The sequence below is a fragment of the Homo sapiens genome, chromosome 12 (genome assembly GCF_000001405.40).
Source record: "Homo sapiens chromosome 12, GRCh38.p14 Primary Assembly".
Classification (NCBI taxonomy): Eukaryota; Metazoa; Chordata; class Mammalia; order Primates; family Hominidae; genus Homo; species Homo sapiens.
In genome coordinates, this window is record NC_000012.12 from 8,890,027 (window position 1) to 8,908,254 (window position 18,228).

General features: G+C 44.1%; 1 annotated feature.

The window, feature by feature from the left end:
- Positions 14,950-15,606: an enhancer, noted in NCBI's record as "H3K27ac hESC enhancer chr12:9057572-9058228 (GRCh37/hg19 assembly coordinates)". NCBI's record gives its function as "activates a minimal SCP1, AML or CMV promoter by ChIP-STARR-seq in primed H9 embryonic stem cells {active_cell/tissue: H9 hESC(primed)}" and the evidence as "EXISTENCE:reporter gene assay evidence [ECO:0000049][PMID:30033119]".

The window sequence follows — 18,228 nt, forward strand, 5'->3', positions numbered from 1 at the left end:
CACTAAATATGTGCTGTTATTGTATACCAATTTTACCTTAGGAATGCTGTATTAAACCTGGGCACAGTGGCTCACGCCTGTAATCCCAGCACTTTGGGAGGCTGATGCAGGTGGATCACTTTGAGCTCAGGAGTTCGAGACCAGTCTGGCCAACATGATGAAACCCCATCTCTACTAAAAATATAAAAATTAGCCTGGAGTGGTGGTGCACACCTGTAATCTCAGCTACTTGGGAGGCAGGAGATTTGCTTGAACCTGGGAGGCGGGGGTTGCAGTGAGCTGAGATCACGCCACTGCACTCCAGCCTAGGTAAAAAAGCAAGACTCCGTCTCAAAAAAAAAAAAAAAAGAAAAGAAAAAAAGAAGAATGCTGTTTTAAAATCTTTCATTTTTTATTTTTAAAAAATAGGGACAGGGTTTCACCGTGTTGCCCAGGCTTTTCTCAAACTCCTAGACTTAAGCTGTCCACTGGCTGCAGCCTTCCAAAGTCCTCGGATTACAGGCTTGAGACTCTGTGCCCGGCCTGTTTTAAAAATCTTAATTGGCATTTAATATATATTCAATAAATATTAGCTATTATTGTGAAGAGAGATTCTGGACCTTTCTTGCCAGGAGGTAAAATTTCCACTCTCAATGTAGGCCCCTGTTGTTTCACTGGGACCTTTCTCCCCTCTCTACAGCTTTCCCCTTCCCCAGCCCCAGGAAAGGTGGAGGCGCCACCTTCTGGTCAGAAAGGAGATTACACAATGGTGTCCTGCTTTTAAACTTTTTGTTTTGTTTTAGCATTTATTTTCGAATAGACAATACACGCCCACGTAAAAATTCAAAGGTCCTAAGAGACACCTTCCACATTTCTTCTCTCAGTTCCCTCCTCGGATGTAACCTATACTATTACTTTTGCCAAATGTCAGCGCCCTGAAATACACCACCCGAAATCTCACAGATAGGCAAAGCTGGAGTTTATTCATGTCTTAGCAAGGGAGCACACCGCCTTGCGGAAACTTGAGCAGCATCTGGGAGGGGAGGGCAAAGGGAGGATATTTATGAGGTTCTAGGTTGGATTAAGGTGGGTCTTTCAGTGAAGGGCTCTGATTAAGTTTGGGTACGGATCATGATTTAGCAAGGTGAGGGCTTAAAAAAGTTTTGGAGCATGAATAATCATTTGATAACTGTACTGGAAAGCTAAGCAATTTAAAATACGTTGTCTGGATATTCCTGAAATGAACAATAACATTATTTAAAAGTTTTATTTTAAAAAGTTTTTTCAGTTAAAAAAAATTAAAGGCATAAGTATGATACAAAGGACTTTGGGGACTTGGGCGGAAAGGGTGGGAAGGGAGAGAGGAATAAAAAACTACAAATTGGGTTCAGTGTATACTGCTCGGGTGATGGGTGCACCAAAATCTCACAAATCACCACTAAAGAACTTACTCATGTAACCAAATACCACCTGTGCCCCAATAACCTATGGAAATAAAAAGTTTTTAAAAATTTCATTTTGTGAGTGCAGAGTAGGTATATGGGATACATGAGATGTTTTGATACAGGCGTGTGATGTGTAATAATCACATCCGGGTAAATGGGATATCTATGACCTCAAGCATTTATCCTTTGTGTTACAAACAATACAATTAGGCCAGGTACAGTGGCTCACGCCTGTAATCCCAGGACTTTTGGGAGGCTGAAGTGGGTAGATCACTTGAGGTCAGGAGTTGGAGACCAGCCTGGCCAACATGGCAAAACCCCATCTCTGCTGAACATACAAAAAGTAGGCGGGCGTGGTGGCGGGCGCCTGTAATTCCAGCTACTCAGGAGGCTGAGGCAGGAGAATTGCTTGAACCTGGGAGGCAGAGGTTGCAGTGAGCCAAGACTGAGCCACTGCACTCCAGCCTGGGTGACAGAGTGAGACTCTGTTTCAAGAAAAAATAATAATACAATTGTACTTTTAGTTATTTTAAAATGCACACTAAATTATTATTGATTAGAGTCACTCTGTTGTGCTATCAAATACTACATTTTATTCATTCTATTTTTTTGTACCCATTACCCATTCCCATTACAGCTTTTATTTTTGGGGCAAGGGCTTCCTGAAATACTAAAGTCTTGTTGGTAAAGACAGTAGAATAGCAAAGTCAAGCTAATGTAGGCAGTAAAGTGTGTGGGTGGGGCTTGGCTAATTCTCAGTTTCTGGTATATCTTTTCAGAGATATTCTGTGCTTATTCAACTATACATGTATAAATTTCTTTTATTATTATTTTTATCTTTTTATTTTTTTTTGAGACAGAGTCTTGCTCTGTCACCCAGGCTGGAGTGCAGTGGCACGATCTCGGCTCAGTGCAACCTCCGCCTCCCAGGTTCAAGTGATTCTTCTATCTCAGCCTCCCAAGTAGTTGGGATTATAGGCTCCCACCACCAAGCCCAGACAACTTTTTTGTATTTTTAGTAGAGACAGGGTTTCACCATGTTGGCCAGGCTGGTCTCACACTCCTGACCTCAAGTGATCCTCCCCTCTCGGCCTCCCAAAGTGCTGGGATTACAGGTGTGAGCCACCGTGCCCAGCCTATACATGTATAAATTTAAGAAATGTGATATTTTCCCCTTTACCAGTTGTTGCAGAAATCCAGAAACTGAGTATGAGATATTCCTTAAATAATGGCGATCCAACAGCGTTTGCTCTGTGGTGATATGTGATGTACTTTCCCAAAGTACGTATATTTACGTATTTTGTGTTGAATGGAATTACCGTTTGAGGTATTCTAGTGTTTTCCCTCTCAGCAATTTATCTAACAGATTATGGTTTTGGCAAAATCTGTGGGGCACATTTTCTTATTCCTGGTTTCCTCTTTTCCATCACAAAGCAGAGTACAGGGCTGAGTGGCAGGGGACAGAAATAATTATTCCATAAGCACTGAAATCTGAAGGCCAGCAGAGGGGCCTTCATTAAGTGCGAATCTGTTGGGCACCCACTGAGTAGTGAACAGGATGAATGTGACAACCACACTCCCTGCCCTTCCCAGGCTTGCAGCTTAGTGAGGGAGAGCAACACTGCCTGCCCTTCATTAGGGGGATGAATGTGACAAAGCACAGTCAGGTTGTGGGAACCTAACCTAATCTTTGGGCTGAATTAAGAATTCCCAGAAGTGACACTCAAGTTGCAAGATGAAGAATAAGCAGGAATGAGACAGGTGAGGGGTGCGGTGTGGGAGGATTGTTCTTGTAAGGGGAGATAGCCTATGCCTTCTCTGGAACCGAGATTACTTTTCTCCGTGTTTCTGGTTTCTGTGTTCCGCCATTTGTTCTGTACATCTTGTGGTCTGCTTTCCAGATTTTTTTTTTTTTTTTTTTTTTTGAGACGGAGTCTCACTCTGTCCCCCAGTCTGGGGTGCAGGGGCGCAATATCGGCTCACTGCAAGCTCCGCCTCCTGGGTTCACGCCATTCTCCTGCCTCAGCCTCCCAAGTAGCTGGGACTACAGTCACCCGCCACCACGCCCGGCTAATTTTTTGTATTTTTAGTAGAGATGGGGTTTCACCGTGGTCTCGATCTCCTGACCTCATGATCCGCCCGCCTCGGCCTCCCAAAGTGCTGGGATTACAAGCGTGAGCCACTGCGCCCAGCTTTCCAGATATTTTGAATAGGAATGTACACATAGACTTTCCAAGTGAGGAAGTCACCATCCTAAATGCATAAGAATCCATCCTATGACTAAAGTCCCTCATCAGCGAGAGCCTCTCATGTTAGTGGTCCTAGGGAGACAAGACCCTGTACCTTTTTTAGTTCTCAGGAGATGGAGTGAAGACTATTTTCTGCACTCTTGATAAAGTTCAAGAAATGCCCATCATTGGCAGAAAATAGAATTAGAATTTCTTAGAATTGGAAATGTCTTTAGAAATCATGCAATCAGGTCTCTTCAACTGAAAAATGAGGAAAATAAGACCCAAAGTGCAGAATTCCTTTCTAAAAATTTTAATTATTTTAAAATTATTATTACTTTATTTATTTATTTATTTATTGAGATGGAGTTTCACTCTTGTTGCCCAGGCTGGAGTACAATGGTGTGATCTCAGCTCATCAGCTCACTGCAACCTCCACCTCCCGGGTTCAGGAGATTCTCCTGCCTCAGCCTCCTGAGTAGCTGGGATTACAGGCGCACACCACCACGCCCAGCTAATTTTTTTGTATTTTTAGTAGAGACAGGGTTCCACCATGTTAGCCAGGATGGTCTCGATCTCCTGACCTCCTGATCCGCCTGCCTCGGCCTCCCAAAGTGCTGGGATTACAGGCGTGAGCCACTGTGCCCAGCTTATGATGTCAAATTTTAGATGTCAACTTAAAAATATATCAGGGGCACATTTAAAGTATTTTATTTTGATATACACTTTAATATTAAAAAATTAATTTTGCAAATGGTGATTCTCTGAATTCTCATGTTAACTCTTAAAATTTTATTTCCTTTAGGGGAAATACATTACAAACCACAAAGCTTCATCTTAAAACATAGAGATGCTATAGAAATGGATGACATTTACTTAGCTCTCTCTCTTTCCCATTGTGACCACAAAAATGTCAACAAATAGACAAGAGACCTACACAAATGTCTATGCTAAGCAGCAGATTTATCACTCACAGCCACAATTTCTAACTCTGGCTTTCCTTGCTGGGAAGTTTTTTGTTGTTTTGGGTTTTTTAGATTACTTTAGAAAACCATTTATTAAAGGAAGAGTGTTTAAACATTAATTTAGGTTAATATAAAGAGTGTAGCCACTCCCTAGATCTAGAAATAGATTGCCAGCAACCCAGAGCTCATACGTACCAATTCCCAATCAAACCCCCTTCCCAGCCCCCAGAGGAAACTACTACATTGACATTAAAAGTAATAACTTCTTTGCTTTACTTTCTGGTTATAATACCCATGTATGCCTTTCCAAACATCGAAGTTTAGTTCTGTCTGGCTTTGAACTTGATATAAATGAACAAGTATTTCAGACAGCATGTATTCTTTTGTCTGGGCTTCCATTACTTAATAATTAGGTTTTTGAGATTCATATATATTGTTGCCTATAGCTATACTTCATTTATTTTCACTATAGTGTCGAATTTTTAGCATTGTATGAACAGATGACAATGTAGCCATTTTATTGCTGATAAACAGTTGCTGCTGGGAACATCCTTGTACATGACTCCAAGTGGACACAAGCACACATTCATAAGAGTGAGATGACTGGGTCACAAATAGTTGAATCTTAAATTTTACTAGATAATGTCAAATGCTTTTAACTCTTGGCACTATCACATTTTAAAATTTCAGCTAATTTGGAACATGTGTAATGGTATTATATTTCATTATGTTTTTATTTGCACTTCTACCTAATTTGATTACTAATGAGGTTGAGGGATTTTTCTACATTTTTGACTATTTGGATATCATATTTTGCTTGAGTCCTTTGCCCATTTTTCTTTTGGGTTCTCTGATTTTTTTTCTTTTCTTTCTTTCTTTTCTTTTTTTTTTTTTTTTTTTTTTTTTTTGAGAGAGAGTCTGACTCTGTCACCCAGGCTGGAGTGCAGTGGTACAATCTCAGCTCACTGCAACCTCTGCCTCCCGGGTTCAAGCAATTCTCATGCCTCAGCCTGTAGCTGGTATTACAGGCATGCGCCACCACACCCGGCTAATTTTTGTGTTTTTAGTAGAGATGGGGTTTCCCTGTGTTGGCCAGGCTGGTCCCAAACTCCCAACCTCAGGTGATCTGCCCACCTTGGCATCCCAAAATGCTGGGTTTACAGGCGTGAGCCATTGCACCTGGCCTAGGAGTTCTTATATATTCTAGATATGAGCTTCTTTGGGTTACATGACTTACACAAATTTTTTTTTTTCTACTTTGTGGCTTGCCACAAAGCAAAACTCAAAATGTTTTCCACAGCCATTCTTCCATTTTAAATTCCTACCAGCAGTATATAACAGTCCTGATTAATCCACATCCTCACCAACACTTGTTATTGTTTTTCTTTTTGATTCTAGACATCCTCGTTGGTGTAAGGAGGAATCTCATTGTGGTTTTGATTGACATTTGTAGCTTGCCTTTTAATGGTGCCTTAATAAATAAATATTTTCAACTTTAATGCTCAAAACAACAATCTTTTCCCTTATTGTTAGTATATTTTATGACTTGCTTAAGAACTCCTTCCTTACTGCAAGGTCATGAAGATAGTTTTCTGTATTATCTTTCAGAGGTTTTATTTATATATTTAGACAGACTCTTGTTCTGTCATCCAGGCTGGAGTCTAGTGGCACAATCTTGGCTCACAGCAACCTCTGCCTCCTGAGTTCAAGTGAATCTTGTGCCTCAGCCTCCCGAGTAGCTGGGACTACAGGTGCAGGCCACCACGCCCAGCTAATTTTTTTTTGAATTTTTAGTAGAGACGAGGTTTCACCACGTTGACCAGGCTGGTCTTGAACTCCTGAACTCAATTGATCCACCCACCTTGGCCTCCCAAAGTGCTGGGATTATAGGCGTGAGCCACCATGCCCAGCCCACTTTTATCTATTTATCACCATACATATTAGTTTCTCTCTCCTTTACATATGCAAAATACCCCACAAAGAGAGACAACCCTCAAGTCCTGTCCAGTTACAGCATTAAGCTCAAAGTTCAGAATCTCTAGGTGATATGTGATAGCCCCTATATTTGGGAATGATGTGAGGCAGTGCTTGCACCACGTTCAGACGTGGCCGTTTTGATCTGGAGACGTACGAACTAAAAAGACAAGATATCTGTGCCTCGTCTCCCACCAATGTACAATGGTGGAATGGGGCCAGGAAAACCCTCCCATTAGGAAAGGGAAATACAAAGCATTCTGTAGAAATTCTAGACAAATGAGCAAAGGGTTTCTTACCCTAGGGATGAGGAATTTCCTAATCAGGTCCCAGTTTGTCCCCCAGGAAGGGTTCACCAGTTGGTGTTCTCTGTGCCTATCACTCCACCCTCTGGAAGATCTTCCTTGGTCATATCTAAAGAGGGTTGCTGAGGAGGAAAAAGGTTTTTCCTCTCCTCTCCTAGGGTTTTGCTGTGTTGGCCTAACTCCTGACCTCAGGTGATCCATCCGCCTCGGCCTCCCAAAGAGCTGGGATTACAGATGTGAGCCACCATGCCCGGCCCCAGGTTTTATTTTATAAGTTTAATGTGGCAAAACGTGGGGGTGATCCACAGAGAAGAGAAACTCCCCGAAGAGGCAGCGAGGCTTGGGGGTTTTTATGCCATTTAGAGGAAGGACAACAAATTTATAGAGAAGTAACAAGGCAAAGGAAGGGGGTTTCTAACTTTCTAGTTCTAGGAGGTAGTAAATTGTGGGGAGGTAAATATATGGGAAATACTAATGGGAGATTAGGGCTAGTTAGTAAGGTTTATTCATGTAGACACTTACGTCATCTCTCTCTTGCCATTTCCATCTCTGGTAATAAGGGCTGTTCTTCCCTTCCTGATATGGGAAAGGGGGCGGTCGCCTGCACAAGGAGAATATATGCCCTCTTTTCATATAGGGAGGGTAGGGAGCTTGTCCTGTGTTTGGTTTTTCTGAATTGCTTTCAGCTCAAAATAATTCTTATGCCAGAGTGGCATATACTTTCCTGCAGGAAACTGAACTACTGAGCAGGTTTGACAACTTGCTCATTGCCTGTAGTAGACTAAGTGCTTAGAAGTCGTTTTTCAGTCTCAAGTAGTCATACACAGTTAAGCTATAAACTAAGTTCCTCCCAAAGTTAGCTCAACCTACACCCAGAGATTAAGAAGGGCAGCTTGGAGGTTAGAACCAAGATGGAGACCAGGCGGTGGCTCACATCTGTAATCCCAGCACTTTGGGAGGCCAGCCTGGGAAGATCCCTTGAGCCCAGGAGTTCAAGACCAGCCTGGGCAACATAGTGAAACCCTATCCCTACAAAAAATAAAAAAAGATTAGCCAGGTGTGGTGGTGCATGCCTGTACCCCAACTACTAGGGATGCTGAGGTGGGAGGATTGCTTGAACTTGGGAGGTAGAGGCTGCAGTGAGCCGAGATCACGCCCTGGACAATAGGGCGAGACCCTGTCTCAAAAAAAAAAAAAAACCAAACGAATTTTTTAAAAATAAGAATTTTAAAAGAAAAAGACAACTATAAAAATTTTAAGGGTTACACAATAAGTCATCTAACACTGGCCAGGCGCAGTGGCTCGTGCCTGTAATCCTAGCACTTTGGGAGGCCATATGCCTCCTATTCTACTACTGAGGTCAGGAGTTTGAGACCAGCCTGGCCAACATGGTGAAACCCTGTCTCTACTAAAAATACAAAATTAGTCGGGCATGGTGGCTAGCACGTGCCTGTAATCCCAGCTACTCAGGAGATGGAGGCAGTGGAATTGCTTGAACCCAGGAGGCAGAGGTTGCAGTGAGCCGAGATCATGCCACGGCATTCCAGCCTGGGTGACAGAGTAAGACTCCGCCTCGCCGGGCGCGGTGGCTCACACCTGTAATCCCAGCACTTTGGGAAACCAAGGTGGGCAGATGACCAGGTCAAGAGATTGAGACCATCCTGGCCAACATGGTGAAACCCTGTCTCTCCTAAAAATACAAAATTAGCCAGGCGTGGTGGTGCATGCCCATAATCCCAGCTACTCAGGAGTCTGAGGCAGGAGAATCGCTTGAACCTGGGAGGCGGGAGTTGTGGTGAGCCGAGATTGCGCCATTGCACTCCAGCCTGGGCGACAAGAGTGAAATTCCATCTCAAAAAAAAAAAAAAAATGATAGCTCTAGATATCCTCTTATAGGATAATCTCTAAAGTTTATTCTTAGGCCAAAAACTTTGGAGGTACCCTGTTTTTTCTCTTTTTCTCACATCCCACATGCACCGTGTCTCCAAATCCTGTTGACTCGCTTCAAAATATATTCCGAATCCAACTACTTCTCACCACTTCTATTGTTACTCCTCTGGTCTACTGCAACAGCCTCCTAACATTTACTTGCTTCCATCCTTGTCTCTCAGGCCTATTCTTAACACAGCAGCCACAGTGATGATGTTAAAATGTAAGTCAAACCACATTACTGCTCTATTCAAATCCTTCCAACAGTTCCCAGTCGCAATAAAAGCTGTAAGGGTAAAAAAGTGTGATATATTTCCTCACCCATCATAAGGGTTGTGGCTGGCACTCCTATAATAAAAGACAGGTTAATAAGAGAAAAGCATAACAAATGTACTTCATCAAAGTTTTAGGTGACACCAGTGTCTTCAGAAATGAAGACCAAAAGACCCAGAGAACACTGTGTCTCTGTGCTTAGGTCTGATGAAGAATGGGCAGCGGTGTAGGAATGTGATTGGACAAAAGGGTATGATCTAATGGTAATGGACTAAGCGGGGAAACCCAGCAAGGTCTCTCTGTTCAGATCCTTCTTGGCCTCTCTGTGCAGCATTCTTTCCTCCTGGGTTTGGGGCAGGACCCTTCTGGAGTGAGGGTCTTCAATGGACAACAGAGAAAGTGACCTTTCTAGGTTTTATGGCTTGTTTGTGGGGAGAGAAGTTCTAGTTTCTCTGACCAACCTTGGGGAAGAGGAATTATGGTTTCTGTGACTCCTCAGGGGAGAAAGAGAGGTGAGAGACAGGAGGGCAGGAGAAGGTCAGAGACTTTGCTTCTGAGGCTTTTTAGTCTCTAAAGTACTCAGCATGCCAAAGCGCCATACTTTGGGGTATCATTTTCTGAGCTCCAACAAAGCTAAAGTCAGTTTTTATAATTGTTATTTGCTCTCTTCCTCCCCGTTCTCCTCTCCCCTGGCACTCCCACACTTTGTTATAACTCTGACCTTACTTCCAGCTCCTCTATTCCTAGCTCACTGTATTCGCCCATTTTCATGCTGCCGACAAAGACATACCTGAGACTGGGAAGAAAAAAGAGGTTTAAATGGACTTACAGTTCCACATGGCCGGGGAGGCCTCAGAATCATGACGAGAGGCAAAAGGCACTTCCTACATGGCAGTGGAAGAGAAAAATGAGGAAGAAGCAAAAGCAGAACCCCTTGATAAACCTATCAGATCTCACGAGACTTATTCACCATCATCAGAATATCATGGGAAAGATGGGCCCCCATGATTCAATGACCTCCCCCTGGGTCCCTCCCACAACACGTGGGAATTCTGGGAGATACAATTCAGGTTGATATTTGGGTGGGGACACAGCAAAACCCCATATCATCCTGCCCCTGGCCCCTCCAAATCTCATGTCCTCACATTTCAAAACCAATCATGCCTTCCCAACAGTCCCTCAAAGCCTTAACTCATTTCAGCATTTCTTTTTTTTTTCGAGATGGAGTTTCACTCTTATTGCCCAAGCTGGAGTGCAATGGCGCGATCTCGGCTCACTGCAACCTCCGCCTCCCAGGTTCAAGCAATTCTCCTGCCTCAGCCTCCCTAGCAGCTGGGATTACAGGCATGTGCCACCATGCCTGGCTAATTTTGTATTTTTAGTAGAGCCGGGGTTTCTCCACGTTGGTCAGGCTGGTCTCGAACTCCCGACCTCAGGTGATCCGCCCGCCTCGGCCTCCCAAAGTGCTGGGATTACAGGCATGAGCCACCGCGCCCGGCCCTCATTTCAGCATTAACCCCAAAGTCCACAGTCCAAAGTGTCATCCAAGACAAGGCAAGTCCCTTCTGCCTATGAGCCTGTAAAATCAAAAGCAAACTAGTTACATTCTAGATACAACTGGTATACAGGTATTGGGTAAATACAGCCATTCCAAATGGGAGAAATTGGCCAAAACAAAGGAGTTACAGGGCCCATGCAAGTCCGAAATCCAGTAGAGCAGTCAAATTTTAAAGCTCCCAAATGATCTCCTTTGACTCCAGGTCTCATATCCAGGTCATGCTGATGCAAGAGGTGGGTTCTCACGGTCTTGGGCAGCTCTACTCCTGTGGCTTTGCAGGGTACAGCCTCCCTCCTGGCTGCTTTCACGAGCTGGCATTGAGTGTCTGCAACTTTTCCATGTGCCTGGTGCAAGCTGTCAGTGGAACTACCATTCTGGGGTCTGGAGGACGGTGGCCCACTTCTCATAGCTCCATTAGGTGGTGTCCCAGTAAGGACTGTGTGGAGGCTCCAACCCCACATTTCCCTTCTGCACTGCCCTAGCAGAGGTTCTTCATGAGGGCCCCACCCCTGCAGCAAACTTTTGCCTGGGCATCCAGGCATTTCCATACATCTTCTGAAATCTAGGCGGAGGTTCCTAAACCTCAATTCTTTTTTTTTTTTTTTCGAGATGGAGAGTCGCTGTATCACCCAGGCTGGAGTGCAGTGGCGCGATCTCAGCTCACTGCAACCTCCGCCTCCCAGGTTCAAGCGATTCTTCTGTCTCAGCCTCCTGAGTAGCTGGGACTACAGGCATGTGCCACCACGCCCAGCTAATTTTTGTATTTGTAGTAGAGACAGGGTTTCACCATATTGGCCAGGCTGGTCTCGAACTCCTGACCTCATGATCTGCCTGCCTCGGCCTCCCAAAGCACTGGGATTACAGGCGTGAGCCACTGTGCCCGGCCCCCAAACCTCAATTCTTGACTTCTGTGCACCTGCAGGCTCAACACCACATGGAAGCTGCCAAGGCTTGGGGGTTCCACCCTCTGAAGCCACAGCCTGAGCTGTACGTTGGCCCCTTTCAGCCATGGCTGGAGTGGCTGGGACACAGTGCACCAAGTCCCTAGACTGCACACAGCATGGGGACCCTGCACCTGGCCCACGAAACCACTTTTTCCTCCTGGGCCTCTGGACCTGTGATGGGAGGGACTTCCGTGAAGGTCTCTGACATGGCCTGGAGACATTTTCCCCATGGTCTTGGGGATTAACATTAGGCTTCTTGCTACTTATGCAAGTTTCTGCAGCTGGCTTGGGTTTTTCTTTTCTATCACATAGTCAGGCTGCAAATTTTCCAAACTTTTATGCTCTGCTTCCCTTATAAAATTGAATGCCTTTAAGTGCACCCAAGTCACCTCTTGGATGCTTTGCTGTTTAGAAATTTCTTCTGTCAGATACCCTAAATCATCTCTCTGAAGTTCAAAATTCCACAGATCTCTAGGGCAGGGGCAAAATGCTGCCCATCTCTTTGCTAAAACATAACAAGAATCACCTTTGCTCCAGTTCCCAAAAAGTTCCTCATCTCCATCTGAGACGACTTCAGCATGGATTTTTTTTTTGTTTTTTGTTTTTTGAGATGGAGTTTCACTCTTGTTGCCCAGGCTGGAGTGAAATGGCACGATCTTGGCTCACCGCAACCTCCGCCTCCTGGATTCAAGTGATTCTCCTGCCTCAGCCTCCCAAGTAGCTGGGATTACAGGCATGTGCCACCACGCCCAGCTAATTTTGTATTTTTAGTAGAGACGGGGTTTCTTCATGTTGGTCAGGCTGGTCTTGAACTCCCGACCTCAGTGATCTGTCCACCTGGGCCTCCCGAAGTGCTGGGATTACAGGCGTGAGCCACTGCATCCGGCCTCAGCCTGGATTTTATTGCCTATATCGCTATCAGCATTTTGGGCAAAGCCGTTCAAGTCTCTAGGAAGTTCCAAACTTTCCCACATTTTCTTGTCTTCTCCTGAGCCCTTCAAACTGTTCCAATCTCTGCTTGTTACCCAGTTCCTAAGTCACTTCCAAATTTTCAGGTATCTTTTTCAGCAATGCCCCATTCTATTGGTATCAATTTACTGTATTAGTCTGTTTTCATGCTGCTGATAAACACATACCTGAGACTGGGAAGAAAAGGAAGTTTAATTGGACTTACAGTTTCACATGGCTGGGGAGGCCACAGAATCATGACCAGAGGCAAAAGGCACTCCTTATATGGCAGTGGAAGAGAAAATGAGGAAGAAGCAAAAGCGGAAACCCTTTATAAACCCATCAGATCTTGTGAGACTTATTCACTATCACGAGAATATCATGGGAAAGACGGGCCCCCGTGATTCAATTACTTCCCCTTGTGTCCCTCCCACAACAAGTGGGAATTCTGTTTTTTTTTTTTTGAAACGGAGTTTTGCTCTTGTTGCCCAGGCTGGAGCAATCTTGGTTCACTGCAACCTCCACCTCCTGGGTTCAAGCAATTCCCCTTCCTCAGCCTCCCGAGTAGCTGGAATTACAGGCACCTGTCACCACGCCCTGCTAATTTTTTTTTTTTTTTTTTTTTTTTGGTATTTTTAGTAGAGATGGGGTTTCCCCATGTTGGCTGGGCTGGTCTCAAACTCCTGACCTCAGTTGATCCACCCACTTTGGCCTCCCAAAGTGTTGGGATTACAGGTTTGAGCCACCACGCCCAGCCCACACGTGGGAATTCTGGAAGATACAATGCAAGTTGAGATTTGGGTGGGGACACAGCTAAACCATCTCACTCACTCTGGTCCAGGCACACTCTGCTTGCTGTTCTAACACACCGGGCACACAATCCTCCACCTGGAGCAGATACACACATGCCCCCTCTCTTGTTCCCTTTACATCTCTTCATAAATGCCACTTTCTCTGTGAAGTCTTCCCTGACCACTCTGTTAAAATTCTAAGCCCCATCTTCCAATTCTCCTGACATTTTTCCATTAAAAAAATGTTCCCATAGCAGTTCTCATCATGCGAATTCCCATGGATTTTAGATTTTACTGATTTGTTTGTTTTCTCCCCCACTACAATGTGAACTCCATGAGGGTAAACATTTTGTCTGTTTTGTCTACTGATGGCCACCCATGACAGAAAAAAAAGTGACTGTCTTAGGGGAGGCCCTCAATGTATTTTTGTTGAATATTGAATAAATGGATGACTCAGATGTAGGGGGTGATCTAAAGAGAAGAGTCAAGAATGACTTCAACGTTTTTTGCTTGGGCAATTGGGATTGCCACTTTCCAAATCAGGGAAGTCTAAGGGAGGAGCAGGTTTGCTGAAGGTGTGATGACTGGCTATCTCCAGTGTCGTCAAGAAAAAGAACTGAGGCAGAGTGCACTGATGGGGTGATCCATTTTCTCGGACTCTGGCAACTCTAACAGTTTCCTTAGTCAGATTTACAGTTGCCACAGATATCCTCTGAAAGTTGGAAAAGGAAGAGGTTACCAGGTGTTCTTTCAGTTCAATACTGGGCTTGTGTCTTTGATTGATTCCCATCAATTCAGTCACTTCACAAGTCAGAAGAGGCAGAGATTAACTCATAGCTGCAACTGGCTGCTGTCTGGTGGTGGAAAGGATAATCCTGAAGGTTATGTTTCATGGTCCTATAGGACATTAACCACTTTTGTATCCAATACAGCAATCTCACTAACATTCCTTTGTTAAATTGCCTAGAAACACCCATGCTTCTCAAACGCACTTTGAACTGATTTTGATATCTTATAGATTCTTTCATTAATTAATAAGTTGTATAAAATCTTTGACGTGTTCGTTTTATATTTGCATGAGTTATGATTCTAGCTTTTTGAAAATTATATTTTAATATCACTTTTACAGAACTAAAATGCTGCCACTCAAAATGATACCTGAGTACTTACCCATTGATTAGTCCAACCCTGTGACAACATGAATTTCCCTGTTGCCAGCGCACTAATACAGTTGGCAACCGGCTAAACTTCAGGCAGCAGAGAACGTTCAGCTGCTTGCTGCTTTTTGAAAAATAAATAAAGGGCTTCAGATTATGCCACCCCAAAATATGTTGTTTTGGCATATTCATTTGAGCTGAAGACACTGGAGAAACAGCTGATGCAGGAAAAGCTCTCTGATTCTCCCTTTCTACCTGAAAGCAGGTCATACAATTTTCCATGAGAAACATGCCCTCTGTGTACAAGGAAGAGAACATTCTTATCACCATAGAAAGGGAACTGACACTGAAATAGATCTATGCAAATAGTCTTACTAAAATAACCTTTAACTTCCACTGGTTCCCCCTTTATATTTCCTAGTCACTGTCCCACAATTTACTGCCATTACACCAAGCCCCTTTGTTTTGTCACATCCCCATAATTTATAATTCTTTGTGTAAAAAGGTATACAGTAGTTCCTTGGTATCCACAGGGTATTGGTTCTAGTTGCCACCCCCTGCATATACAAAAATCTGAGGATGTTCTTATATAAAATGACATAGTATTTGCATACAAGTTATGCACATCTTCCTGTATACATTTTTTTTATCTTATTTTTTTTTGAGAGAGGGTCTTGCTGTCACCCAGGCTGGGTTGCAGTGGAGTGATCTTGGCTCACTGCAACTTCTGTTTCCTGGGTTCCCGTGATTCTTGTGCCTCAGCCTGTAGCTGGGATTGCAGGCGTGCATTATCACACCTGGCTAATTTTTGTATTTTTAGTAGAGGCGGGGTTTCACCAGTTGGCTAGGCTGGTCTTGAACTCCTGGCCTTAAGCAATCCACCTGCCTTGGCCTCCCAAAGTGCTGGGATTATAGGCATGAGTCACTGCACCTGGCCCTCCTGTATACTTCAAATCATCTCTAGATCACTTATACCTAATATAATGTAAATGCTGTGTAAGTTGTTGTTATAGTGAATTGGTTTTTTATAAATTTGTATTTTTTTCTTTCTTTCTTTCTTTCTTTTTTTTTTTTTTGAGACGGAGTTTCACTCTTGTTGCCCAGGCTGCAGTGCAATGGCACGATCTCACTCACCGCAACCTCTGCCTCACCGCAACCTCTGCCTCCCAGGTTCAAGCAATTGCCTCTTTGGGTCTTTTCTTTTTTTCTTGAGACAGTCTCTCTCCGTCATCCAGGCTGGAATGCAGTGGCGCTGTTAACGGTGGAAGGTATGCGGACAATTCTGAAGGCATTTCTATTTTTATTCTGCCAATAATTTTAAAGCTAGCTTGTTAAGTTACACTTTAAGTCACGTGAACTTGAAAATTGCTTAGACTTATTTACTTGATTTATGAGCGCACTTTTACTTATAAGCCAATTTGGTAGACACAACATATAACAGTAGGTGTACAAACAAATAAACACATCTAGACATGTATACACATACATCAACGAAGATCCAATACCTTGGAACCTTAGCCACGAGATAGCAATACAAGCTTGCGGTTTTACTTCAACCTAATAGAAAATACAAGGACGGCTCTGAACCAAAATTTCAGGTAAAGCAGCCTCCATGGCAGTTCGATATTGAAGGGCTAAAGCCTCCCAGCCTCCCTAGACTTCAAGGAGCACCGGGGCCAAACAGTACCAAAGGAGGGTGTCACATGTTAACCAGGCCCCCTGCTTAGAACAGCAGCACAAAAGCCTGGATACATGCAACGCCATCCCACTTTCTGATTAGACAGTAAATTTCAGATTCTAAACAATTTTGGGGCCAAGCAGCATCACAACTGTGAAAAAATTTTTTTTTTCTTTTCTGAGACCGAATTTGGCTCAGTCACCCAGGCTGGAGTGCAGTGGTGTGATCTCGGCTCACTGCAACCTCCGCCTACCAGGTTTGAGCGATTCTCTTGCCTCTGTCTCTTGAGTAGCTGGGACTACAGGCATGCGCCACTACGCCTGGCTGAATTTTTTGTATTTTTAGTAGAGACAGGGTTTCACTATGTTGGTCAGTCTGGTCTCAAACTCCTGACCTCAAATGATCCGCCTGCCTTGGGCTCTTAAAGTGCTGGGATTACAGGCATGAGCCACTGTGCCCGGTCTGCAAGAGAAAATTCTAAGGAGGGTTTAATACTAGACCTCAGAACCTCTGCCAACAGCTTCCTCTTTGGAGAGTTTGAGGTCCGCAGAACCCACAGAGCATCCTCCTGTGGAATCCAATCTTAGAGTTCCAGACATCACTGGCCTTAGGTGGGTGCATCAAATGCAGGTTTTCCTTCCAAAGCATACTATGAGATTTATAAGAATAGCCAAGAACTGTAATGAGAACTGGATGCCGGGTGAGACTTTTGTTCCTTAGCCAGTAGAGTACGACCTGGGAAGAATTTAGCATATGAAAAGGAGGTTTAAGTTGCCTGAAATATGTGCAAGTTTGCTCTGAGCCGCACAGCAGGTAGAGATCATGGACCATGCGTGGAAAATATTTTTTTTAAAAAGTCCTTCCCACTTTGGGGCAGGGGTAATTATTCCCATTCGCTCCTCGGCCTTCAGGCAGTACCAGGGAGTGACCCCAGACAATTGCCCTCAATTTCAAGGAGCTACTAAGAAACAGCCACTGTAAGACTGAAAGAGAAGAAAAAAACATAAATAAAGACCCAGATTCCTTAAGTGATCTGGGCAGTGGCGGTTAGGCTTCTCCACATGGAAACCCCTTAGTTTCACTGGCCACGGCCAGAAACCTGCAGTTGCTTCCATGTTTAGGCACGGTCCACCAAGCATCCCAAGTTGGAAAGTCCCAAGGTCTGCTCCATGGATGGAGCAGGAAGGAAAGGGAAAATGAATCCCAAACTTTGGGCTTACTTCTCCCTCCTGGCTGGCTTGCCAAAATATGTTAATGGTGGAGGATATCTAAGTTCTTGGCATCTTGAACAAAGAATTGGACAAAATGCACAAACAAAGCAAGGAAGGAATGAAAGATTTTATTGAAAATGAAAGTACACTCCACAGTATGGGAAAGGGCCTGAGCAGAGGGACTCAGGCACTGTTACAGAGTTTTTCTGAGTTTAAATACCCTCTACTCAGGGTATGTCCTATGTAAATGAAGAGGATAAAGTTACAAAGTCATTTATGGCAAACGCCAGATGGAGAGGCTATTTCCTGTTTTAGCTTAAGTGTGAATTGGCCTTATGCTCCCTGCCTCCAGACCCTATTTTCCTGCCTCAGCACAATCTCAGCTCACTGTAACCATCTCCCAGGTTCAGGTGATTCTCCTGCCTCAGCCTCCCGAGTAACTGGGATCACAGGCATGAACAACCACGCCCAGCTAATTTTTGTATTTTTAGTAGAGATGGGGTTTCACCATGTTGGCCAGGTTGGTCTCGAACTCTTGACCTCAGGTGATCCACCCACCTTGGCCTCCCAAAATGCCAGGATTATAGGTGTGAGCCACTGCTCTGGCCTCTTTGGGTCTTACATTTTCCTTCTGAAGTCTCCCACGTACATGTAAATATATTAAATGCATTTATATCCTTTTTTCTTCTTAATCTGTTATTTTGTTTAGTATTATTATTATTTTGAGACGGGGTCTTGCTCTGTGCCCAGGCTGGAGTACAATGGCGCGATCTCAGCTCACTGCAACCTCCACCTCCGGGGCTAAAGTGATTCTCCTGCCTCAGCCTCCCAAGCAGCTGGGAT